The 26,661-nt window shown below is 34.0% G+C and overlaps 1 protein-coding gene across 6 annotated transcripts in view, besides 3 other annotated features; it reads right to left on the bottom strand.

Annotated features, from left to right (window-relative positions):
• CSRNP3 (cysteine and serine rich nuclear protein 3) overlaps positions 1-26,661 on the bottom strand; it is a 219,710-nt gene that overhangs the window by 106,086 nt on the left and 86,963 nt on the right. Inside the window, exons 1-2 of one of the 6 annotated variants that reach the window (XM_047445907.1) lie at positions 8,891-9,115; positions 6,601-6,678 (exon numbers count right to left, since the gene is read on the bottom strand). The exons of 3 other annotated variants lie outside the window; for them this stretch is intronic. In XM_047445907.1, coding sequence (XP_047301863.1) covers positions 6,601-6,678; positions 8,891-8,963 — 151 coding nt within the window. In that variant the 5' untranslated portion in view covers positions 8,964-9,115. Of the gene's footprint in view, positions 1-6,600; positions 6,679-8,890; positions 9,116-10,734; positions 10,987-26,661 lie in introns of those variants that run through there. 2 more of the 6 variants (NM_024969.3, NM_001439057.1) reach the window with 2 other exon arrangements.
• Positions 1,836-2,353: an enhancer, noted in NCBI's record as "NANOG hESC enhancer chr2:166437479-166437996 (GRCh37/hg19 assembly coordinates)". NCBI's record gives its function as "activates a minimal SCP1, AML or CMV promoter by ChIP-STARR-seq in naive H9 embryonic stem cells {active_cell/tissue: H9 hESC(naive)}" and the evidence as "EXISTENCE:reporter gene assay evidence [ECO:0000049][PMID:30033119]".
• Positions 2,354-2,871: an enhancer, noted in NCBI's record as "NANOG hESC enhancer chr2:166436961-166437478 (GRCh37/hg19 assembly coordinates)". NCBI's record gives its function as "activates a minimal SCP1, AML or CMV promoter by ChIP-STARR-seq in naive H9 embryonic stem cells {active_cell/tissue: H9 hESC(naive)}" and the evidence as "EXISTENCE:reporter gene assay evidence [ECO:0000049][PMID:30033119]".
• Positions 9,117-9,317: a silencer, noted in NCBI's record as "peak3912 fragment used in MPRA reporter construct". NCBI's record gives its function as "represses an SCP1 promoter by STARR-seq MPRAs in K562 erythroleukemia cells {active_cell/tissue: K562}" and the evidence as "EXISTENCE:reporter gene assay evidence [ECO:0000049][PMID:32103011]".

The following is a 26,661-nucleotide window of genomic DNA, read 5'->3' as shown; positions in this document are numbered from 1 at the left end:
AAACAATTACCCCTGAGTAAGCAAAAAGTGCCTTGAACATTTATCACTTCATACATTTTGAGAATAGTTATGCATTTTTCTAAAAGAAAAAAAAGGATATATATTTCTGCAATACTAGAGTCATTTCTGCCTAAACCCATTTGGCAAGAAATTAGCATATCTGCCGCCAAAACAGGAGGAATCTGGCAATGAGTTTACAAGGTAAAATCCCACAAGGTGTTTCCATGGGGCACTACCAATGTGAAAAATGCTGCTGGTGGCTTGCCAATGTGAGAAGCACAAGTTGGCCAAATGTACTTCACTTGTCCAAGTGTCTGCTTAAGCCAAGAACCCTGGGAGCACTCCTGGCTAATAAATATTTTTGTTGGAGAAATAATAATTGTGGGGCTCCCAAATTATGTATGAATTCTTTATGCCAGAATTGTTTGTGACCTTGAATTAAAGGACTGAGTTACTTTATATGCGGTAGATCACAACATTTCCGCAGTTTGATGATTTGCAGTTTGAGAATTTGATTAAGAAATGAACACTTTCCCCAGAAAAAAGTGCACATAGCAGAAATGCATGCCATTTATTATGGACTCCCAGGATAAAAACCTCTGCTCTGGTGATTGTACCATTTCCCCAGCTTTGGTGGGTATCCAGAACTTGGAAAGATGATTCACTGGGAACACATTATTTCAAAGTAAAAAAGAAGTTTATAAATCTGTTGCCAACATTCCTTTTACCGTCAGGGTCACCCACTTCCTAGGACAGGGCTCTTTCCAGCTCCTTCAGTTTCTTCCGGCATTTGTGCCAAAGGACCTACTGCATTTGCTGGAGACATTTCCAGGGGATTTCTTCACTGTCGTCTTGGCTGCCACATACTACTCAAAAAACCACCCAAAACTGGCCTCATCTGCAACTTTGTGGCTTGAGGAATACTTGACAGGAATGGTTCTAGGTTAAGGTACACTTTCCTAGACAGTACCTGTCTTTCCTAAAAGGTGGTTAGATAGCCTCATTCCATTTATAATAACTCCAGTTAGCATTTAGTGAGCACCTACTATGGGCCAGATGCTTTGTAACCGTTCTCTGTAACCTTCCACCACATTCTACAAGGTAGTTTTAACAAAGGAAACTGAAGTTTCAGAAGTCTAGATCACTTGCTCAAGGTTTATGGCTGACCCAGTCCTTCTCTGAAAAATATTCTTTGACCAGTAGCACACTGTGGTTAAGTGGCTTCTCTGCATTAACACCACCTGGTCTATGCATTTATCAGTACTTATTAGACTGTATTATAATCCCCGTTCAACCCAATGTTTTTCTCAAACTTGATTATAAAACACTTTGTGGAGACTGAATAGGTATTCCAGTGCCTGCTCAGTAAATGAATAGACATAAATTTGGAGTCTGAATCCTGGACCAGCTACTAACAAGTGGCATAATTTTAAGTAGGAAGATTATTTCTCTGGGTCTCAGTTTGCACTTCTATCAAAAGAAGGGGGCCAGGCGCAGTGGCTCATGCCTGTAATCCTAGCACTTTGGGAGGCAGAGGTGGGCGGATTGCCTGAGGTCGGTAGTTCGAGACCAGCCTGGCCAACATGGTGAAACCCCATCTCTACTAAAAATACAAAAATTAGCTGGGCATGGTGATGCATTCTTGTAATCCCAGCTACTCGGGAGGCTGAGGCAGGAGATTCGCTTGAACCCAGGAGGCAGAGATTGCAGTGAGCTGAGATAGCGCCACTGTACTCCAGCCTGGGTGACAGAGTGAGACTCTGTCTCAAAAAAAGGTGGGGGTGGGAGGGGTGGGCAGGGCATAACTAGTAAAACATAGGCTCTGATACAAAGCAGACCCCACTATCTGAGAATAAATGACAAAAGCCATGACCTCTATGCAAAGACTGATGCCTCTAAATTGTTCATACCCACTTCCTTCACCCCAATGGCTAAATTGACTTATGTCCTGCTGACAAAGAGAGGGACGGCTATTCCATTTACTAATAATTACAAAGAGGTTTTCCATGACTCTCTCTGGCTGGGAGGTACTCAGGAAGCTTTCCATGTTACCTGCACTTGTGTGCCATTGTGATTAGTATTCATACAAGATGGCCAGAACTTGGTTTTGAATGCCTCTTGGCCCTAAACATTGATCATCATTTGGCATTTGGCAAAATGGTATAGTGGAATACACTAGTTTGAAAGTCAAAAGTTCTTCCCTAAGGTTAACTTTTAAGATGGTGTTTTAGTTATCAAAAACAGAGGAAACAACCAAGAACACGATACGGCTTTTAAAACTGTTGAAATTTGATCAAGTGCCTAGTGTAAGCCTACTTTTCCCTCCATAACAACAAAAGTACCAAGTGAAGTTAATGAAAAATTTATTTTACATGCTTGCAATTAAGACTAAAGAATAGTACTTAGCCTAATTCCTTGGACAATTTGCAAGACTTACCACATTGAGGAAAAAAAAAACAAAACACACATGGATCTAAAAGAATTAAAAATTATTATTATTGCATCACTGGAAGATAGCATTTTTTGTTTCTTCTTAGCACTTAAAAAGTTTCCCTTTGTCCTTTAGAAAGTTTCTGATTGAATAACAAAACAGATGAGGCAATGTAAATCAAAGGCTATTTAAGATAATGATATCCTTTTCCTTTAGAGGAATCATCTGAATAGTGTGAAGGAAAAGGGACTTTAAAAAAACATTTTCCCCATAAAGTACATTAAAATAGACATCAGAATAAAATATGGGCAAGCTTTAGAACTATACCCATCCAAGCACTGGGATCCTGCCAAAGATACTGCACAAAAAATAAAGGAGATTTTTAAAATTACAACAAGTAGAAAAAAATACTTTGGACATTCTTCAAAGTAAATCACCACCTTAGGCACAATATAGATTTTTACTATTTAAGGCAGGGACAGGCAACAATAGTTGTTAAGCCTGAAGCTGACTTTGCATTAAGCAGCAATTAGTAAAAAAATAATATATAGTGTAAAATTACCTGGACTTTCAAGTCTCAGTAAATGTTCTACGGAAATGTAAAACTTGTTCACAATAGAAATAAGTTGCACCATAGTCATACAATCTTTTGAAACTTGGACATTCACTGTTTAGAGGAGATTCACCCTTTAAACAAGTTTCACAAAAGTAGAGTCAGGCGGATCACGAGGTCAGGAGATCGAGACCATCCTGGCTAACGTGGTGAAACCCTGTCTCTACTAAAAATACAAAAAATTAGCCAGGCGTGGTGGCAGGCGCCTGTAGTCCCAGCCACTCAGGAGGCTGAGGCAGGAGAATGGCGTGAACCCGGGAGGTGGAGCTTGCGGTGAGCCGAGATTACGCCATTGCACTCCAGCCTGGGCGACAGAGTGAGACTCTGTCTCAAAAAAAAAAAAAAAAAAAAAAAAAGTAGAGTCATGATATTCCTGCAATCTACTCTGAACTGGTTACTAATGTATATTTACCAAAAAGCACTTCTAGGTATGCTACTATTAAAATAATTTTTAAGTAAAAATGTAGATATATTTTTCTAAATTTCTTTTGGAAAACGTTGCGACTAAATCAATTGATTCAATATTTCTAAACACCAATATGATATTCAGGAAGTTTAAAATAGCAATTAATTTGTAACAAAGTGATCACTTCATGATTCACACAAATTAGCACCTTTATGTCATTAGGTATAATTAGGTGCTTTATGCCCCATAGTAACATTGGCTCAGCAAACATTTCTTGGACACTTTCTATGTGCCAGGCTCCCCTTGTAATTGAAGAACTTATAGTCTATAGATGAGATAGAAACTCTGGATGGAGCAGAGATGAATAACTACTGCCTTAATTGCATAAAGTCAGAATGGAAAAATAGTAGAGCAGAGGTACAAAGATGGAAATTTGAAAAGCCTTAAAGGATATAAAAAAAGGGAGCTCAGAAAAGCACATATTGCCACATCATACCTGGGGATTTTGTGGAGACCGTACTTCTAGTTGGAATGATTCAAGGTACATATCTATTTAGCCACATATGGTTTGAACCTTGATGACCAGGCTGATTGCTTTCTCTACTTGTCCCATTCAAATTCTAACCATTAACTGCTCAGTATTACCTAGGATAACCTCCAATAAAATCCTGGCAGGTTTCTATTTTTGGAAAACACATCTTTTCCTCATCCATTGACACCTAAGATGTTCCATGAGGATTTTCTGTAACTATAAGTTTAAGCTGAACTTGCCTCATCAGCACCAGGGAATCAACTTGTGTGGGCTGAAAAATGTTAATATTAGCTATCATCTATAATATTCCTATTATGTGCCAGGTATGTATCATGTCATTCCCCTTTCATAAAAATCCCTTGATATAGAGACTAATATTACCACTTTCCCAATGAAGAAGATGAGGCTTACAGGTTTTAAGTACCATGTCAAGGCTACATGGCTTGTAAATGTCAGAGTACATTGTGTAAACAACTCCGGAGTTGGGACTTGAACTTAAGTTCTTAACCATTCCCTTATTCAGCCTCTTCACATTCCACGATATAGCTTGAAATCACATATAATATACAACACAATAAAAGCTTTTTCTATCAAGAAAACAATATACAATATTTTTCTGTTTTTTTTTCCTTTGTTCATAAATTGACCTAAATTTATAAGGTTTTATTGTATTAAATAAAGTTACCCAGGTTTGTTAAAGTAAGAATCCTCAGGCCTTTTAATATGCTAGTGTGCAAAAGAGGACCAGAATGATAAGCTATTCTCCAAATATGTTGGACTAGATCTCATTCTTACAGAGTCTTTTGATACTAGGTTCATGGAACCAACAGTCCTTTAGATCAAGTTCTTCACAGTATATGAGAACACCTACTAAAATGGTATTAGCTGCTTTGTGTATCTTAACATATTATATTAGTGAGATTTCAAAGAAATGGTGGTTGACGATTCAGCTGTCTTACTTTCCTTATTTATGATTAGGGAGAGTGTAAGACATGAGCATGAACACATGTGGCTAAATGCATTTCTAAATGAATATGTGGATTCATAAGCTTGCATGGAGATAAAGAATTGAGCAAGCAAAAATTCTTCCCATCTAGCATTGTGGTGAAAGATGGTAAATTTAATGCCAGGATTTGAAAATGAGATGGACCACAAGTCCCCAAATTGGCAAGAAGTATATGGCACCAATGATTAGTCAAATGCAACCAAAAAATTGGTCTCTGTGTTTTCTTTTGTATACCTGTTAGAGACTCCTCATTTTCCTATTTGATATAAAGTAAGTTCAAATTTCTGTTGATAGTTTAATATTATAGATTCTCATTGTACTAACAAAAGAAAATTTTCATTTATTTGGAATTCAAATGATTTTCAACATTCTGAACACAAGACAAACTAAAAATAAATTTTGCTTATTTTGTGTGTTCCTATACTATATGTATGTATCTGTCAGGAGTTCAGTACGTACGAGAAATATGGAGAAAGGTTTCTCTCTTTCTCTGTCCAGGAAAGTCAAAGTGATTTAGAATTGAATGTAAAGCAAAGTTCAAAATTGATTTCTGAATTGCTCTCAAAGGACAATTATTAACTATGTTAAAAATAATACATATTAACATTTAAAAAAGACAATAAAATTATAAAAAGCATATAAAATTATATATAAAAGTATATAATAGTAAGAGGCTATTTGGTGTTGGAGAACAGTTGGGAATAGTTTTGTCTTTTGCAGTAAGTGAATATCATGGTTGGACTAATAATTATTATGTCATGAAAAAAAACCTAAACTGACTTTCACCTTGCTCTATAAGGCAGTATGATGTGTACTATATTTTTGTTTCATGACAGCTATTGGCATTTTTAAGAACTGGCCTTTATAGTCATAAACTTTAGCTACTTGGAAAATCAGTTTATATCATACAGATTATTTTCCAACTCTACTAGACAAGGTATTACTATAGCATTACTATAGGTCTAATAAGATCTTTAAAATCATTTTACAATTTTATTGTTCTTATAATTTTTAATAAAATTGATGGAATTTTATGTAAATTCTAGAATAGGCAATAAAAAGACAATTGTTTTGTTTTCTTTTAAAATATTATATTAAAATAGAGAAATGTGATTGTTTTGAATACTCAATTATTTTGAGCATTTTCCTTCTACATGTTTCAGTAATTTAGTTTTGTTTTTTTTTTTCTATTTCATAGGCTCCAGAATTTCAGGAGAACAAATATAGCAATAATAAAACTTAAAACCTACACATGTGATTTTGAGATGACAACAGTTATTTGTAGATTTTAGACTATGTTCCACACTGCTAGACTGAGTAGAACATGTTTGCCCTGAAATCTTTTCCAAGCCTACAATATGGTCTCTAGTTTCAAGTGATGACAAAGACAGACTGGTAATCAAAGAGCAGGAAATTCATTTTTGAAAAATCCTCAAAGATTCCTTTGAAGTCTGATATAACACTATCTCTTTAAGTAGACTAAGTACATATCCCTAAAGATTTGTTTTTAGATCACTCTATTTATTCTTTTACTTCTCAAATTTGATTTGAATTGTATTTACACAAATGCATTTTTTCTATATACGTTTAGATATTCAGACCACAGACTTACTGTGTATATGCTGCTGAGATTTGTATGGAAGTAGTATGGCTCGAGCTATTGCAAAAGACTTCAAAGTTTTGAGTGAATCTGCATAGAGACATAAATTATCCAGGATATTCAAAGCCATAAATTAGCTGCAGGACATATATAGCTCTCTTGTGGCTCACAGAATCACAACAATTCTCTTTATTTCACATTTGTCTATTATCACGTTTTCTCCAAGAATCTTCATGGGCTTTCCTTCTTTGCCCACACTGTTTTTATTTCCATATTCAGAACATGCTCTGTGGTAGCAGTTGCATTTACAAAGTTAAAAGTACTGGACTACCTAAATGAATGTTAAACTTGGTTCTTTTCTCCCTCTCTGCCTAAAACACACGCAGGGATTAGTAGACACAAACTACAGGCGCTACTGAATTAAATATAAAATTAAACATTTTAAGAAAAAATTGTTGAATTAAATATGATTTACCACTGAAAATATTTTCTTTGGCTGCTTGAAATATATATATGTGTGTGTGTGTGTATATACATAATATATGCAATAATATGTATAACATACATATATTGTTACACATATGTGTGTGTATATATATATTGTTTTATGCATATATAAAACAATTATATGTATATATTTATTGTTTTATACATATATAAAAAACAATTATATATCTATATATAGGTATAAAAGCAAAGCCTATAAATATTGTTTGGACCAGAGGACAGCATATTCTGACCAACATAAAAAGAAAATAGCTAATTTAAAAAATAACCCTTTTACCTAAAGTCATTATTGAAAGTTTCAAAAGAGAAACACTTTAGAAGAAAATGTCAGTTTTTGAATTTTTTAAAAGCTCATACAAAACATGAATTCCTTTTCCTAAATTAGTCTCAGGATCCTGGATAAATGTCATAATGTCCCCATAGAGTGATAAAGGGTGAGAATCTGGCCCTGAATAACCACTAAGTGAATTTCATAAATATTTGAAATAATTGTCCTTCACTGTTTTAAATAGCTATCCTCCTGTTGTGGTTCCTCCTCAATCCCCCCTCTATTTTACAATAAAACATATTGTTGCCAAAATACCTCATCTTAATCATTATAATAAAATTAACTCCCTCTTTTCAGGGCAAAGAAAGTAATTAAGTTTAACTAAATATGTACTAGCTCTTTGTATGTAAGCTTCATAAAATTCATTTTTAAATATCTTATGCAAATATAAAAACATAAAGCAGTCATTTCATGGCTAAAAGCTATTTTTGCCTCTTCATCTTTTCCAACATATTTTCATACACATACAACCTGTAATAGACAGATGCACAGTTGATGCAAATGAAAATAACATTTTTTAATCAACATTGTAACTGCTGAATTGATATACTTAAGTGCTTTAATGATAGGAATAAACAGTTTGATTGTACTGTTTTAATTAAGTTTGTTTGAAAATATGTTTTAGAAATAAAAAAATATGAACAATAAAAGTGAGTACACATTTATTTGGTGCAGGACAGACTTTCCTATGATGTAATCACACATTTTACAAAAGTGTGATATTTCGTGCATGGAAAGAAGACTTTTGTCCTGTCTGTGACATTTATAAGGATCCCTTTACAATGCAGACTTAACTGAAAGGAAAAGTCATAGGAAGTTGAACACGTTAAATTCAAATAGCATTATCCAAAAAGTCCCAAAGAGAATTTATAACAATTAGAAAAATCAAAGAAAGGTTTAAAGGATCTAGCCCCAATAGAAGAAATTATTGCTCTGAGAAGATATTTGGCAATAAAATATAGAACAAAAACCCTCAAAACCAAAACCCTTCAAATGGAATGAAAATATACTTATTAAAATTGTCCTTATGCGATTGTGTGAGATATGAACAAAAGAACTCCATTATTTAATACCAGATACATCACAATAATCTTAGGCTAGGAACTCGGATCTTATTTTAAATACATTTCTTTAAAAAATGTGAAAATCCTCTAAAAGTTGTAAGCCTCAATATTTTTCTAGATGTTTCAGCTCAGAGATCTCTCTTCAATAAAGAACTTACCCCCGAAATGGAATTATTTAGAAGCCTAAACCCAGTTTTTTCTCACATGAAATTATTCTATTGGAACAAAACACCCATGTTTCAAGTAGAGAAATACGAAGAAGAAAATTAAAAAAATAAACTAGTTAAGGGAATCCTGAAAACCAGGAACACCCTGCCAATTGCCACGATGAATTAAAATAGCCAATGCCCATCAGTGTCTTTAATAGAAATAAAATCAGGCGCATCATGAAATGTCACCATACCTGCGTGCACTATATAACGACTACGGCACACACGCTGTAAAATCTTCACTCTCAGAAATAAAGCACACTTCATTTAACTGCTGCAAAACACTGCTGCAGAGAACCCCAGTACATTTTTTTCAGGCAACTGATCCAGCTTTCCACCAGCCCTGTGACCTTTGAACTCCCTTCTGCCCCCTCCTCTCGCTTCTGCAGTCAAAGCCTCCGAGCTGGTCTCATTTGCATAAGGCTCAGGCAGTCCTCCAGCAGCTGAAACGGAATGCTGGGTAAGGAATTGTGGAACTGCGGTTCTGCCAGGCTACCTGAATCACGGGAGAGCAGGAATACAGGATGGGGAGTGGGCACGGGTTTTACTGGGCTGTCAGCATCACATTTCCCTGTGTCTATTAATGGATAAACGATTTTAACGCTTTGTTTTAGAGTCCTATTCTCACTGCTTACTCCCTCCCCACCAAGAGAAGCTGTCAGCAGCGACTATGGTAACCAAGGAAACCCAAATAGTCAAATGCTTCATTTAAATACGTGTGGAAGGCCAATTTTAAATTTTCATTAACTTCCCTTGTTTTTGAAACACAGCTTTTTTTTTAAATTCAAATACATATTGCACGTATAATCAGGCACATGGGGTATTTCTTTTTGTTGCTGTGGTTTAAACAGCATCTTACAGGCGTAAATTTATATTAGTCACTACACAAATACATGAGGTCACTATAGTAATTCTGTAAAATGTTAAATGTGCCCAAGTGTCTTAGAGACTATCATCCTAAGTGGTGTCCAAAAATTAATTGTAAAGAATTTAGGTCCCAGGATGCCTTTAAAACAATACAGCAGTCAAAATGTAGAGCAAAGTTAAACTATGTATTTAAATCTAAAGATTCATATAGCAGCAATGCTTGTCTGTCTTTGGCAAAGATATTCAGTGTTGTGCTATTATTTGCTAGTTATTTCTTCCCTTATTTTTCTACACACAACAATCTCTCTATTTGAAACATAAACTTCTCTATTGCTCATAAATGGAAGAAGTGGTTATTTTCTACATAGAAAAAGTCATGTGTGTACATATTTTATAAATATACATAAAGACACATAATCTTTCTAAATGGTAAGCCAATGAAAATATGCATCATCAAATAATCTCTTCTCTTAAAAATTAAGCAAATTTGTTTTTCTCTAAATATCAATGAATAATATTTATAAAATAAAAGGTTTTGTGCAATAATCTTTTTCATGTGTCAAAAGAAATATAACATGAAAAATTAAAAGCACACAACAAATAAATACAGATATGTGTTACTAAAGTATAAAATACATTGTTCTAATAGTGTTATTTACATTTCAAAATTTCCTTGTTTTTAAATTTTTTAATTCAAATAATTAAATATTCCAAACCTTCCTTTTGCAGTATACTAACACACATCAACAAATTTTGAATGATATATTATCTAATTTATAAGACATGTAAACTATTGCAATACAGATTGTTTTAACACTGGAAAAATAATTTTGAAGCTTTTTATGTGAACTATTTGTCAGTAGTATTCTCTTTTATATTATTTCTGCATACACAGGAGATTAAAAATTATTGGATGAATTTATTTCTTACCCATAAATTTTTAAAATAGACTAAATAACTTTTCAGTTTAATATAATGATATCAACATTTCTCTGTCACATCTGACTACATCGACAATTTAATCGCATTGGGTCAATTCAAGTGCATCCTTAATATTATACACTACAAATATCTTGCAAAGTTTTTGTTTAAGGCAAAACACACCAGCCCATTCTAATTTAAATCCAGTCAAACACAAGGAAGTGTTGGAGTAATTTATAAAATCACCAACCTGTTCAAATAACTGTAGTCTTAGTCCTTGCACTCTTTATTCATTAGGATCCAAAATAAATGATCATTTTATCATATGTGTCAGCATCACCGAAGACACAGTTCTTCCTGGTTCAGAGGAATCTTCTTAAATTTCCCAGCCCTGTGTTTTATTGCTTGTACCATATGCTTTATTGTTCAGCAACAAGAGCTTCACTCTGCACAAAGACTCATTACCTACTGCTTGCTGCACGGCATCAGCCTCACTGAGGCTGCCTATATGTGATCACATGGAGTTTTGTCTGAGAGAGCCAGGCGTGCCACTGACTTCACTGTGTCTATGGATATTTTTATCATCTGAGGTCTACTAGGAGGAAGGAATAACAGATAAGGAAGCTGCTCTAAGTCATTAATGCAGCACAACTTATGGAAATCCCTTCACAAGATTTTTTTTTATTATAGAAAATGTTTGAGCAAGCTCCAAAAGAAGTTAACTAGATTTTATTTTAATAAGAGGTTGAATAATAATTTAAGGAAGGAGAACTTGCAAAAAGCCATTTCCTATCTCATATTTTCTGAAAGTACTTTTGTACAAATGTTATTAAAGAGCCTTGCGCTACTGAATGATTTGGCAATATGTTTTAACCATTAGATTGCTGGCATTTCTTTTTCTTGGTGTTTTGTTTTTTGTAAAAAGATAATTGCTGTTTCCTTCAAAATATCCTCAATTAAAATCTCAATCACTAAAAGATACTATATGTGAATAAAAATAGATATACTAATTACTTTTGATAAAGTAGATGAGAAGGTGAATCTTTTTTATTAATGTATATAGATGAAGTAGATGATTAATTTATCTTTTCAAAAGATGACACATTCCTAGAACAGCTGACTTAAAGGAACAATGCAGATTTCAATTTAAGTTCTAAAGGACATATGGTTTTTATTAATTTTTAAAATTGCGGTAACTTATTTTAGACAGCTTACCTCAATAAAACATATGATTTACCTTATCTGATTTCAATGTTAACAAGTAGTTTCAGGGAAAACTATCCAACATTTACAGGAATTTTCCACCACACAAATATTACATTAATATATATACAAATATGTGTGTGTATGTGTGTGTAGTCAGATTGCCTTTCTAAAAATTTTTTTAAATATATAAAATTATTTCTTAAAAACTGAAAATGGAATTTGGATTTCCAAATACAGAACTATTTAGTTATTGGAACTTATTTTAAAACATCGATTTCTTATCTCTTTAATGACTGTCTAAATTAAAATGATGTTTGAAAGCTTGTTACTTTTAAGTCTCAGTGAAAATCTTATGACAAATACATGCGAAGTGCAACAAAGAACACACACAGAAGGAAAAGTCAGAAGCACTATAAATACAGATGAGAAAATAAATTTTCTGAGTAGTTAGATATATAGTAACTTAACGGCACTTATAAATAATTCAGTAATTAAAAAGTGAATATACATATATATGTATATTTGCTTAAGCCTTCCATTAGTAAGAAATTCTTTTGGGGCAAAAAATATTATAACTCAAAATTTTTTGTGTGTCAATTGAAAGTTTTAAAAATAATTTAAAACCAGAATAGGTAAGTATGGTTAAGTAGCTTAGCTTTTAAATACAATGAGTTAATACCTTTCTTTATGATATTATTTGTAGGGTTAGCATTGATCTAGAATGTTTATGACTTAAATAAATGTTTATGACTTAAATAAATACCTTTTGATGGGTTTTTCTTAACATTGAAAGAAATATTCATATATGTTTTAGATACCACCATTTTAATGCATTTGTCCCAAAATGTTCATGTTCATTTTTAGCACAGCATTAGAGCTATGCTAAAGCTGCAAAACTTTGGGGCATTAAAAGAAAAGGGCTTATAGTATACTTCTGGGTTCTTAAGATATGTACATCCTAGTTAATATATTTGATCATGTCACCCATGCTAATGTACAAGGAAGTAAACAAAAGGCAGCCATTTTTTTTTTTTTTACTGCATTACTTCAAAAACATTGAAATAAAAAGGTTGCCCAATGGAAGGAAAGAATCAGCAGAAAACTAAGTTATTTGCAAGTTTTTAGAAAGTGAGAGTGGGAGAACAAGAGCTGAGAAATTGGGAAAAAAAATCCACATATATGTGAAATTTGTGTGTATATATGCAAAGGAATAATTTAACAATAAGAAAATAAATACAAGGAATATGAAAATAGCTAGCAATTAAAACACATTGCCAGTAAAATTGTGAGTCTCCAATGGGAAGTCTATAGTGTATGGTTTTAAATATAAGAAGCTGACAATTTATTCATGTTGAAAAAGATATTTAAAGGTGGATATCAGAACTAGAAAGAGATAGAATGAATCACGGGATGGTAATAATCTCTCCAGGTCGGCTATTCTCATAGATGACCTTGGTGAGTTATTCCAGTATCTTATGCCTTAGTTTTCAAGTCTGCACACCAGGAACAGAAAAGTCTTTGGAAAGTATGTCATGGAAACCTATAGCAATAATTTGTACTTCAGTTCTTTAAATTGGCTTTAACCAAGTATTGTCAACTAATATTAATAAAATGGAAAGATATGATATAAAATCTAATGATTGCTTAAAAGAATTTTTAAATAAATTATTCTAACAACACAGACAAACAAGTATAATAAGTAGATAGGATTTTTGGAAGTAAGAGGTGATTTTTTTTTTCTAATACATGCAGAAAAAATAGAATTAAACTTAAGAAGTACTATAATGTGAAATCTCATAAAATTGCCTCAGGATAAAAACAAATTACAAAATATGCCCACCCTTCTAATCAAAACTCTGGAATCAGTGAGATGGCAAGAGGATAGCCCCAGAGATTCTCAAATTACACAATGAACAATGGTGGCTCTGCTTATAAAACAAGTTTATGGGCCAAGAATTTTTTAAATATGAAATTAACAAAGAAACACAAGATCATAGCTTTAAGAAGCAAATTCCATCCAAGATTAAAAGGATGTTTTAATTTACTTTGGCATATTAAAAGCTGTGAATTGGAAAAAAATTATGTCAACTCTTACAATTGACTCTTTGTTAGCTTGTTTTTTCTCTAAAGACAAATAGGCCTCATAGAATTCTTTTATTTACTCCCCTTTCCTACAAAATAACCAAACCTTATCAGAAGTAATCCAAAATATTTGCTATCCAGTTCTTGCAGTAATTTAGACATGAGCTTATGTTAACTGGACGATCTCTTGAACATTCTACTGCATGAAGAAAGATTTACTAACACCATCACCTGTGTTTCCTGGAACCATATTAACTGGTATGTATACCACTTGCTACTATTAGATTCTCCCTTGATGAGGCTGGATTTTCTTGCTATATTTTCTTCTCCTTCACAACACATTCAGAGAAGTCAATAAATTGGCTACGTCAACCTCAAAATCCAGGACTAATTCAATTCAATTTAACAAACATTTATTGAGAAGATACCATGTACCAAGCTCTGAGAGAGTTGCTAGGGATATAAAAATGAAATATACACTGTTCTCAAGAAGATCATAGTCTCTTTAGCTTAAAATTAAAAAAATGTGCTGAGCATGTTATGTGAAAGTATTAAATGGTACTTTTTCAAAAGTTTGCATATTTTATTGTGTGAATATGTATTTTATGTATACATTTATTTATTTTCAATATATCTGCTAAAATCAGAAAAATTATTTTTGTAATTTAAAATAATTTATCAAATGTCAAATTGTAATTTATCCTGTTACTTTTGGATATTATAATTTAGAAGAGACAAAACTTATCTTAATAATAAGATATTTTAAATAAAATAAAAATAATGGCTACAAATTCTTTGCAATTCTTTTCAGCCAGAAGTAGAGTCTAATTTCCTCCACCTTTATTCTTAGTTGGTCTGAGTGATTTGCTTAACCAGTAGAGGCTGCAGCAGTGATGCTCTGGAAAGTCCAAGTCTAGGTCCTAATAAACCCTGTGGCTTCCACTTGAGCCTCTTGAAACACTCTGTCCAAGAACTCTGAGCTGCCATGTAAGAGGATTCACTGCCCTGAGGCTGTCATGCTGGAGAAATCACATATAGGCATTCTGGGAGAAAAGGGAGTTCCTAGTAGTAAGTGGTACTTTGGGAAAAGCCCAGAAACAAAGACAAGAGCTTTACTAACTATAATAAGAGGGACTTTGAAGAGACTTGGGTGACAGGAGATTTAGGCATGTATTGAGACTTTGAAGGAGGATGTCTGGTGCTCTCTCTTAGATCCTTCTGAAGCTGAGTGTGAGAAGATGTTTGCAATATGCAGGACATTGTAAAGTCACCAGGGGATAAGATAAGAGGTATGGGCAAAGTAATGAGTAAAGAAGACAATTTTGGCAGTTGAGGAGAGGCTAGCCTGGTGGAGCACTGGGGCAGCAGCTGAGATCTGATGAAGAATCAGGGAAAAACAATGGGGGCATGAAATAAAGGCGGTGAGAGAGGAAGGAGAAGAAAGGAATCCATCAGAAAGAATGATGAAATATTTAAAATTGTTTAGATAAACTGGTCTCTGATCTTATTGATAGCCTTAAAAGTCAATGGTTCAATCATTAAGCTGCCAATTAGATCCAAAAGAGCATTAATGAAACTAGTTTTGTTACATAGATTCAGTAATTTCACAGGTATTTTTATTTGTATTTGCCTTAGTTGGTTAAACTTTCCAGCATTGTGAAAAATTATTAGTATCAAACATTGTTAATGTTATGTTTGGGAGGCTGAGAGTAACTGTAAAACAACAGGACCTCCCTTAAATAAAGTACGCAGTGGACAGTGTTTATATTTTTTTCTTGTGTCTGATTTCCAATTTAGGAAAAAAAAAGTGTGGAAAAGACAAATGTGTTTTAGTTATGCAAAGATAAAAAACAGATAATTTTGGATAATGCAAACTAAGACTTAAAACACACACACACATGCATACACACACATGCCACCATTACCTATTGAAGTGAACAAGCCTACTGGAGTTTTACCCTTTCGGTTTTTCATTCTATTTGGATATTAGACTACCAAAGCAGCAGATGTTAGCTTAAGTGGCCAGTGAATGGCCATTCAGAATGTTGCAGGTTAAGTGGTAGGGATAGCTCTATAATTGCTGCTACTGCATCTACAATATGTACATAAATCATTTGAACATGGCTGTAAAGAAGTCTTTATACAAAGTGACACAGAGAAGAAAGTATCCAGATTTTTTCCCCATCCTTAAGTCTCTATCATTACAAAGGCATTAGAAAACAGCATTTATCGAGAGAAAAGAATAAATGAAGCAAACCTTCTCTCAGAGAACACAAAAGATACATTTATTTCTTAGTGACCATAAATGTTGACTGTAATGATTTCTTCTTATGCTGAATTAGATGTCTAACCTGTGACAAAATAAAACATGGAGTAAAATAGCATATGCTAAAGTCAAATATGAACTGAGCAGGTTTAAAAGGAAACAGGACTGATGGTTTTTCCATCAATCCTATTATTGGTTGCACCATAAGTAAAAGGGTTATGACACTGCTTTTGGGGTCAAGGCATAAGAAAAAGAGTTTTCTATATTTTATTTCACCAATACAAATCCACAAATACTTGGCTAATAGAATGAGCATATGTTTATTTGTATCACAGAGATATACAGAAACAACTTTGGCATATTATTCATCTGGGTTCATTTATTGATTTATGCATTAATTCATACATTCATCCATTTTACATTCACTGAGTTCTATACTCTTGGAACCAAGTTCATTGTTCTGATACGTTAGGGAGATGGCAGTCTGCAAGCTAAGTGGCTCTCCATCTAGAGGCAGGGATAGATATAAAGAGACGTTACAGCATAATGAAACGGTTCTATAATTGAAGAATATATAAGAATATACAGCCTGGGCAATGCAATGAGCCCGTCTCCACAAAAAAAAATTTAAAAATTAGTTGGATGTGGTGGTGTGCACAATACTATCTAAAAATAGCTAATAGTTATCAAGAATTTACAAAATCCAAAGGGCTCTGCATGTATTAATTAACTTGTAAAACCATCACAACAAGCCTATGAGGTAGCTACTTTTACTATCTCCATTTTACAGATGAAACCATTGAGGCATCACGAGATAGAGACTGTAATCCAACCCAGGTACTGTGGTTTTAACCCATTATGGCTCTACTGTGACATCTTATCTAAGGTAGTCATGGTGGGCTTTGCAGCAGAGTTGACATGGGAAATAAATCTTCAGGAATGAGTAGGAGTTCTTTTATGGAAAATAAGGGTATTCTAGGCAGAAGGGCTAGAATGTACACAGATATTGAGGCATGACTAATGTATGTGTGAAGGAAACTAAAAATCCCTCTGAAAATGCTAAGATTTTTTTTTATCTCGATAGGATTGTGCATTTGTAATGCTGGAATGTTTGAAACGCATCTTAGAGTCTGTCTGTAGTCATACAAGGTATTTGACTGGTTTGATTACGACTGAGTTTTATTAAATAACTCAGGAGACTCTTAAAAGAATGAATTTGACAGAGGGTTTGGAAGATGGGAGATTCATAGATTTTGTCTATGAACCCAGATAGACGATTCTGTCTGTCACAGTTAACTTTTAAAAGCACAGAATTTCCCTCAGTGGCCCGATTAAAGGTTAAGAAAGAACAAAGAGTGCTTATTTTGTTTACAATAAAAGTTCAAATCTTGAATACCATCAATTGAACTTAATTGTAATGCTCATGTAAGAAAACTATATAAAAGTATTCTGTGCAGATTAAAATCATGCTCCTGATCAGGAAATCCACCTCCATGCTTTCTATTAATCATACAACATGAATAAATACAAGAAATAAATTAGATTTCTCCTTTAGGCAAATGTTTTAATGAGCTTAATTCCATGGCTTGCTATTAATGCTAGTGGCTGGCTTCCTTGATATGAGGCATGCATTTTCTTTCTTGTTCATATAGTCAGCTTCCTATTTAGTATTCATTATTCAGGTCTATTTTTATCAAAGAGCACTATTACATGAAACCATGATCCAAACATATTTGGCTCTGTTTTTTATTTATGGAAGGAAGGGAATTATACAGCCTTCTTACACTGGGGTATGATTGTTATATACACATGTTGTTATAGTACACGTGTTCCTTCATATTAGAAGGTAGTGGCACTTAATTCTCATGGTCTTGCTAAAGGACAGATATTCTTTTCACACCTTTATTAGTTTAGAACATCAACATTTCATTCAAGAAAAGCCCTTAGCCTTGTAAACAAACTAGTAAAAACAAGTTATTTTGATAACAGTCTCAATAAACTCTACTTAGATATTCTAAGACTTTCTTATGTGAATAGCCAAGTATGTGGTATTAAGAACAGAGAGAAGTATAAACACATTTTATTGGAATATTATGGCCCCTGATAACTTTCGCTGACAACCGTGGGTACTACAGCAACCACTACTCTTTGTAGGCCATAGCATGATTTGCATCTTTGCCTCTTTAATTACTGATGATTACCTATGGAACATGCAATTATGATAGCTGAGACAAAATTGAGCGTTATACTGCTACTGTTTCCCAGTCACTCACAGTGAGGTGCTTTAAAGTTGTCTCTATATATTCATTGCATCATATTTATACAATATTTATTTGCCCTAGGAAGCCTATGGCTACATCACTCCAATTTACTATATTCTATGGCCACTGTGGAACCAGGTAGCAACAAGAAGAATGCAGTTTTAAATACAAAAAAATTTTAAGAAACCACATTTATAATAATTAAAGCTTTAAATCACCCAAATACATTTAACAGATATTTATATATAGTAGGATATATACATATTTCCTATATATAGTAGGATATCAGATAGCGATTAAAATCAGTCATTATGATTTTGTAAAAACAATAAGAATGTTTACAAAATAATAATTAGTGAAAAAATTGGCCAGAAATACAAACAAATACGATGACACCTAATAGGTATAGAAAAAGACTAGGGAGAAATATAAAAAATTTAAGGGATTGTGTGCTAGTATAAAACAATATGCACACTGTGATCTCAGTGTTTTAAATATACATGAACATAAAATAATAGGAAAAATGCAATCAAAATTATAAAATCTCTTAGAATTACAAAATAGGTCATTCTAATTTTCTACTTTGGCTTTTTCTATATTTTCCATCTATCTGTTATTAATACAATGCCAAATTTAATATTAGAATTATTATTGTGATGGAATTAGTTGTATTAAAGTTATTTTAATAAGAAGAAAAGCATTTTTTTAACAGAATATTGTTTAAATAATTGCAACTGCTGTTATGTTTAAGCTTTTAGATATCAAGGAAATTGATCTTTGCTACCACTCTCCACCCATAGGCTGAATTTGAAACTTGATACCATACTAGGATCCCTAAAGACTTGATTGCTTTGATTGATGAACAGATTTCTTTGAAAATTTTCTGTAAGAAATCACACACTATGCTGCTCTTCTAAATTTGCTTCCCAGGTACCACAAGGGGGTTCACGTAACTATTTCCATTCTTTCCCTAGGTGGCGATAGACCAAAAGGGGTGATTAGAGGTGGCACATTTAGGTGTCAGGGAGTGACACCACAGAGCCAGCTGCCAAACCCTGCATGATGATAAATTAGTTTACTTGTCTGGGGGGAGCGGGGGAGATTTTATTTTCATGAAAAATTACAAGGGCACTACAGGGATGTGGTACTTGTTTAAGTTGGAGGAAGATCTTCAGAAGCTACAAAAATTTGTAGCTGGGCATTATGTAGTTTCACATGAAATTTAACAGCAGAAACATCAGAGAAGGCCTGTGGCACATGTGTCTAATTGGAAAAATATTAGTGTCTTAATACTATGTCTCTGTTATGCTCAGAGAGTGCCTGGAAGACAAAAGTCTAGCAGCTGAACTCGTGCTTTCTTGCTATCCCAGAGAGACCTGGTGCTGAAGTTTTCTGAACCTAAGCATATTGTCACTGAATTTTGTTATGGTTATTAATTGTGATAAAAGAAAAACTTCAGCCAAATTAAATTTAAAGGAGTTTAATTGAGCAATGAATGATTCGCGAATTGGGCAGCCCCCAGAATCACAGCAAATTCACAGAGACTCCAGTGCAGCCACATGGTGGGATAAGATTTATAGACAAAAAAAGGGAAATGAGGTACAGAAACAGCTGGGTTGGTTACAGGTTGGCGTTTACCTTATTTGAACACAGTTTGAACACTTAGCAGTCTATTAGTGATTGAAGTATGGCCACTGGGTTGCCCAAGACTCAGTTATCGTTACAGGTGCATACTCCTAAGTTAGGTTTTCAATTTTGTCTGACTATTAAGCTAGGTTACAGTCCATCCACTCCTCCACCAGGATTCACATATAGAAGTATGGGGTCCTTCTCAGCCATATTTAGTTTGTTTTAACAATTGTGTACTAAAAGAGAACCAGTCATTACATAGTGTTTCCCAGGCAACAATTTGAGAGGTAGTTTTAATTTGTATTGCCCAATAAATCTTTGGCTACAAATAGGAGAGTCTGGTATAGAAGCACATTTTCAGTCTATAGCACAGCAGTAATGTTCATATCATCCTCTGACTTCTCACACTGTCTTCTCTCCTTCATCAGGTTAACTCTCCCACCCTCTTGAAGGCTCAGCTCTAAAGCGCCCCCTCTTTAGAGCCTCTTCCCATATCCTTTTACATGGAGTGAAAAAACTTGTCCCTTTCACTCTCTTTCATGTCTCTTTATTACTCTACTATAAATTTTATGACACTATGCCTTATTACTGTGTTTGTATTTCTAGAAAGATATTAATAAACTACAATCTCAAGAACAAAGGCCTTGTCTTATTCATATTTATATCTTTAGAGTCCACCACAAACCTTTACCATGAGAAATGCTCAACACTATTGAAAAAGTTTTTGTGAAAGTGCTTTTAGAATATAGACATAAAGTGGACACAAGCTTTGAGACAGCTATCTTTAGAATGTGCTGGTAAGATTCAAATTGCTCAGAGGACAGAATTATTGTTTAACACTTACTTCCAGTTTGTGTTTTTCAAGCTTGTCTAAATGAACCAGATGAAAAGCTGGAGATACTGCATACACTTTTTCTCCCCCAACAACAGGGTTATGAGAATTGGATCAGACAAAATGTTTTGCAATTTTTCCCCAGTTGCAGCTGTTCCACAGCTGGTAACACATTTTCAGCCTTGTTAAAAATTTCTCCTACTGATAAAACTTCTTGGGCCCTTCTCTCAAGCACCAATCATCATTATCATCCCCATTGTCAATGACTTTTCTCCTTTCCCTCTTTTTCTTTCAAATGCAGAAGAGATGTGCTTCAACCTTTCTCCATGTCTGTCCAAGACCAGTTCTGTGATTTTGCACACAGTTATCTAACATAGTCTCTTTGGAGTCACAGGTAGATTTCTTTTAAAATAGGGACACTTGTACATCAGGGGGTGTTCGGGCTTTTCTAATGGCCCTTTGTAAACATTTTTACATTTTGGATCAACACATCAGCAAATACATAATACTACTTCTGTCAACAAAAGCTTTCTGTCAACTCATGGGCATGTGTTAAATAAAAATCGAAGTTAGAATAAAATGTTCATGTGTTAATTAATATTACATATAAAAGGAATTTTCATGTATATTCATTCAGAATTAATTTCACTGGACTTTATTAGTATTTAACATAATAAATACTTATTAAGACATTGATTAATAATGAGAATCCCCTGCCCATCCCAGTTAAACCTACAACAAACAGACCAGAAAGAAAAAGAGCTTACAAAATAGAAATTCCTTACTGGCTTTTTGCCTATCACAACTGTCTATTCTTTCCGTTTAAGAGAAAGAACATACTGTGGGGTAGCAAATATTAAAATTTCAGCTTGTTGTGGAGAATTTCCTAAGACAAAAGAAATTACAATGTGGACTGTATTGCAGCAATTTTGTAAACATTGGCATTAAATTCACTGAAGAGGGAGTAAATGTAATATTTGCAGAGAGAATACAATCCAAATGAGCAGTCCATTTTGGATTCAGTGAATAAATTACCAATGTTAAAATGACTTTTTGTAGAATATCAAGAAACCAGAACAAACAGAAGAATCATTACTGAATTGAAAAAGTAAGAAATTACTCTTGAAGAAGAGAAAAAAAAATCAACCATTCTCATTTTTTGAGCTCAATTTCATATGGTCTTTTAGGGGGTTCGTGTGTCCTAACTTGAATATATTCAACCTTTGATGGACTCGAATTTTCTCCTGAGAAGTTTTAAACATTTGCTTTCATCTTTAGGTAGACATCAAAGGTAGAAGGACCACTTACTTGTAACTTTATCCAGTTTTACTGACGGCAAATGTAAGGCATAAAGATTTCAAGTGGCCACTTTCCTAGTTTAAACTAATGCTCTTTTCAACTCAAGTATTCTGACTTTTTATTATTTAACTGCAGAAAAATTTAAATTTTATTCAAAGGCAGAATTTGACAAGTAGTAGTCCTTACTAACTAATATAAGGAATTAAAGTACTTCCTTTTGTATGTAAGACAGATAGTATTTAAAGGCATGTTTTCTGGCCCTAAATCCACTATGCAAAAGTGGACAGCTATCACTAAATATAAAAGTAATAGCATTTTTTTGCTTCTCAAATGTAAGCTCCACTGAGCCAAATCACATCATGAACACTAGTGAAACAAACAGTTTAAAGCGATTAAAGACATACCACTAAAAGATTAGATCTGCAAGCCAAGTACATAAACGGAAAAAGTCTGGTTTACCATAAGGATCTGCATTTCACATCTGATCGAGCAGTTAACAAAATTATACATAGATATTTTGAGCTTTGCTTTTAGAGAGTACACCTGATTACTGAACTGCTTTGCTTCCTACCTAAAACAGAATGATTTGAATAACTCAAACTCCATTTGGTAGCAAATGCTACAAAACTGCAGTTATGCTTCCTGTGGTTTAGGTGGACTCTATCAGAGTAGATAAGATGGCTGTAGGGAATAGAGAGACTCACTCAGTGGGAACCAGATGGCTTAAGGGCAGAGAGAAAAGATAGTGTAAAGCTTGGGTTAGCTACAGAGTATCACGACAGAAGAGGATGCAGGAAAAGAGAAAGATGAATAAGGATTGTTCATGATAGTTATAAAAGTTGTGGTTGAGGTGATTGCTAGCAAAAGGTAGTAACTAATCAATTCTCTTCCTACACAGGCTAATGACATGGGTAATTTTCAAAACGGCTTTACAAAAGTCACTGAGTAATTTCTTCTGCTTCTAGGGATGGCTATATCTATACTATTTACATTGATATTCCCATTCAATAAACATTTTTAGGAAAGAAGTCCATCATTCCACCATATAACAAGGGGAAAATTTCCAGGTAAAATAATAGAACATTGTGAGCTCCCTAAGGAAAGCAATAGAACCTAATTGTAATCTTTGTCTTTGGATAAGGAGTACAAAATGATCTGTCAGTTTAAGAAAAATATTGGCTCACGTCTGTAATCCCAACACTTTGGGAGGCCAAGGTGGGTGGATCACAAGGTCAGGAGATCGAGACCATCCTGGCTAACTTGGTGAAACCCCGTCTCTACTAAAAATGCAAAAAATTAGTCGGGCTTGGTGGCGGGCGCCTGTAGTCCCAGCTACTCAGGAGGCTGAGACAGGAGAATGGCATGAACCCAGGAGGCAGAGCTTGCAGTGAGCCGAGATCGTGCCACTGCACTCCAGCCTGGGCGACAGAGTGAGACTCCATCTCAAAAAAAAAAAAAAAAAAAAAGAAAGAAAGAAAAATATTACATTCAGAGTAATTTCATAATATGGGACAAATAGAATAGGAAGATACTTAAAGTGCACAATACATTTAATATTTGTTTTTATAGATCTCTTGTCTTAATTGTATTATTTTACATTCTAATGTGTCAAAGCTAAATGGTGACAAATAGAGCTTGATTTTCCTCATTAGCACCACTATTAGTTTCATTACACATCCCTTTTCTTTTACTTGTGAATGACTCTGGGACTCCTTCTATAAAGTCTATTAATAAATTATTTTTTGTTCATTTTTTAAAAAATATCAGTTTCCTAGCATTTATCTTGGTCTAGTGTATTTAAAGTTTTATCAGTTAGAAAGCTAAAAATTAAGATAGTAAAAAGCTTGTTCAACTGAAGACCATATCCTATTTCACTTAGCCTTTATCTATGAGGAGTATTACACCATGTAGAACAAGTGATCTTAAAGGGGACACTTTCAGCAGTAGAGATCAACAGTTGAGAGACTGTATTATTTGTATTTCTCACCTTCACAGACCAAGCTCTTTTTCTAGTACCAGAGAGATTTATTAACAAAAGTGGCAAAGTAGCAATGAACCAAAATTTTGAATATAATGAAAATAGTCAGAAGAAATAAAAACTCCTATATTCCAATTTCTATATGATTAACAGGCAAACTAATTTGCTTTTTTCTTCTTTGCATATTTCTGTCTCTCTCTCTCTCTCTCTCAGTAGTCTCTGACACATCACCTTACTGAAGCCTATGCTGCCCTCTAGTCTATGCTGTACCATAGATGATTTAGATGAGTTTGTAGATTTGGTTAGTTGGGAACTATACCACTGTCATCAGTCACATTAGAGTATCCCTTTCAGCAATCTATGCCTATCGGAAGATTAATAATGAGAATAATCATGGCAAGATGAATGTCATTATAGGTCATCACGTGTACAGCTCCCTTTGGAGATGCAAAGATTGATTGTGGGAACTAAAGAACATTAGATAACTGAGTGCTGGCAAAATTAATTTTCCCATTCACTATAAATTGAGTAATACGTAAAATCATTGACACTTTCACATGCATGCTGTTTACTTTAATTTTTTTAATTTGTAATTATTGCGGCTACATAATAAACAAGAGGAATCTGGTGATTTGGCTAATCAGAGTAAATATGTGTATATTCATGTAAATGTGTGTGTGTGTCTTACAAACTCTCTTATTATCTTACCTGAACATTTTCCCCTTGTTTAACAGTGGAATGATGGATTTCTTTTCTACAAATGGTTTTTAAATGGAAACAGCAATTTAAATGATACAGATATGGTCCTCCCAAAAGGCAGAGAAAATTGCTCACTAACTTATGTAAAACCTTTGAAAATATACATGCCACGATAAAAGGTAAACCTCAAGCTGGTCATGTGGACTGCTCTTGTGCTTTCAGATAACCCTTCATCAGCAATTATACATTTAAATTCTTTTAAGATCCAGGCTGGCAGTATATTTGTATGAGCAGGTATAAGACACCAGCAACTGTGACAATGGCAGTGAATGAGTAGAGTATACCCAAGGACATTGATATTCAGACTGTTAAACTCCACCATGCTGGCCAAATAAAATAACCAAGTGTTGCCATATTCTCTACTCTACAATAGTTTTTTCCCCCCCTTAATTTTTCAACTCTCCCTGTGGTCCCGATTTTCTTTTTACATTGTTAGTGGCTTTTAAAAAATCTGCAGGAATACCTTCTCTTTGTATAGTGTTTATTCTCAAAATTCCCTTAGTAACTTATGGAACTATTCAGGTTGAAAAAAGGGAAAAATGGCCAACATTAATAAGAATATTAACTCTCTCTAACAATATTGACTCCATTTAGCAAAGTGAAAATTAAATAAGAAACTGGATTCCATTTTCTTCACACCTCTAAACATAACATCAAACTTTAATAAATGCAGGCTACATAGTAAGAGAATTAAATGCAAGCCCCTAAGGGCAGAGGTTTCTAGGAATGTGCTTATAATAGAGTTTCACCTGGGATTCAATTAAATATTTAGTGAGAATGGCTGAAAGGAAGGCACTGTGCTGAAAGCTGTGGGGGAGGCAGAGATGAATACGACACAGTTTTTGTCCTCTAAAATGTCATGATCAACGGCAGCCAAAACATTTAACTTAAGAGTGTGGGGTATATATGGTTGTGGGGGGAGCTCCCTCCTCTTTCTCCTCCAGCACCAACAAACTGGTCTATATTTGCACAGTCCTATCATCCTTTCCCCCAGTTTTACAAGATGAAGTATGCTTTTATTCTTTTCAAGGCCAATCTTTCCTTAAATGCCCTCGATCCCATTTTCTCCCTCTCTCAACTCCCTCTCCCTCTTTCTTCACAGATATGATACTATAAACCAGGAGTCAACAAGTTCTTTCTGTAATAAGCCACACAGTAAATATTTTAGGCTTTTGCAAAACATATGGTTGCCGTCACAAGTACTCAACTCCGTTGTTTTAATGCGAAGGCAGCTGTAGATAAACAAATATATAAATGTATGTAAACAAATGAATGTGTCTGTGTTCCAATAAAACTTTATATGTAGACATTAAAATTTGAATTTAATAAAATTTTAATGTGTCATGAAGTGTTCTTTTCTTTCTTTTTTTCAATCACTTAAAAATTTAAACCACTATTTAAAGGCCATATACAAATGGGTAGTGAGGCAGATTTGTACAACAGGCCATAGTTTGCTGACCCTTGCTATACAAGATTGCCACTTTTGCCACCCTTCCTTTTCGACTTCCGCTCAGCCTATAATCACACTGAGGAGAATATTAAAGATATTTAGCAATGACTCTGGTTTCTAACCAATCCAAATAGATAAGTTAGTCAATTAGAGCTGGTACCAGCTGTAAACAACTATTGGGTAATTTCAGTGTGTTCAGGCTAACTATTAGTTCAGATCACACCCTCTCATTTTATTCAAAAGCCAAAACAAGAGAAGCTCTTCTTGCATTGCTATATTGATATTGTTCCACCCTCATTTTCTGTCCAATATTTTTGAGAATTATTCTACTTTCTCATCTCTCACTCAGATTCAATAAATCTTCTCCCACCGATCTTTTAAAACTGACCTTTTCAGTACAGATTTTCTTTTTCTT

This window comes from Homo sapiens, chromosome 2 (assembly GCF_000001405.40).
Source record: "Homo sapiens chromosome 2, GRCh38.p14 Primary Assembly".
Lineage (NCBI taxonomy): Eukaryota > Metazoa > Chordata > Mammalia > Primates > Hominidae > Homo > Homo sapiens.
This window is presented reverse-complemented; position numbering and strand designations above follow the sequence as displayed.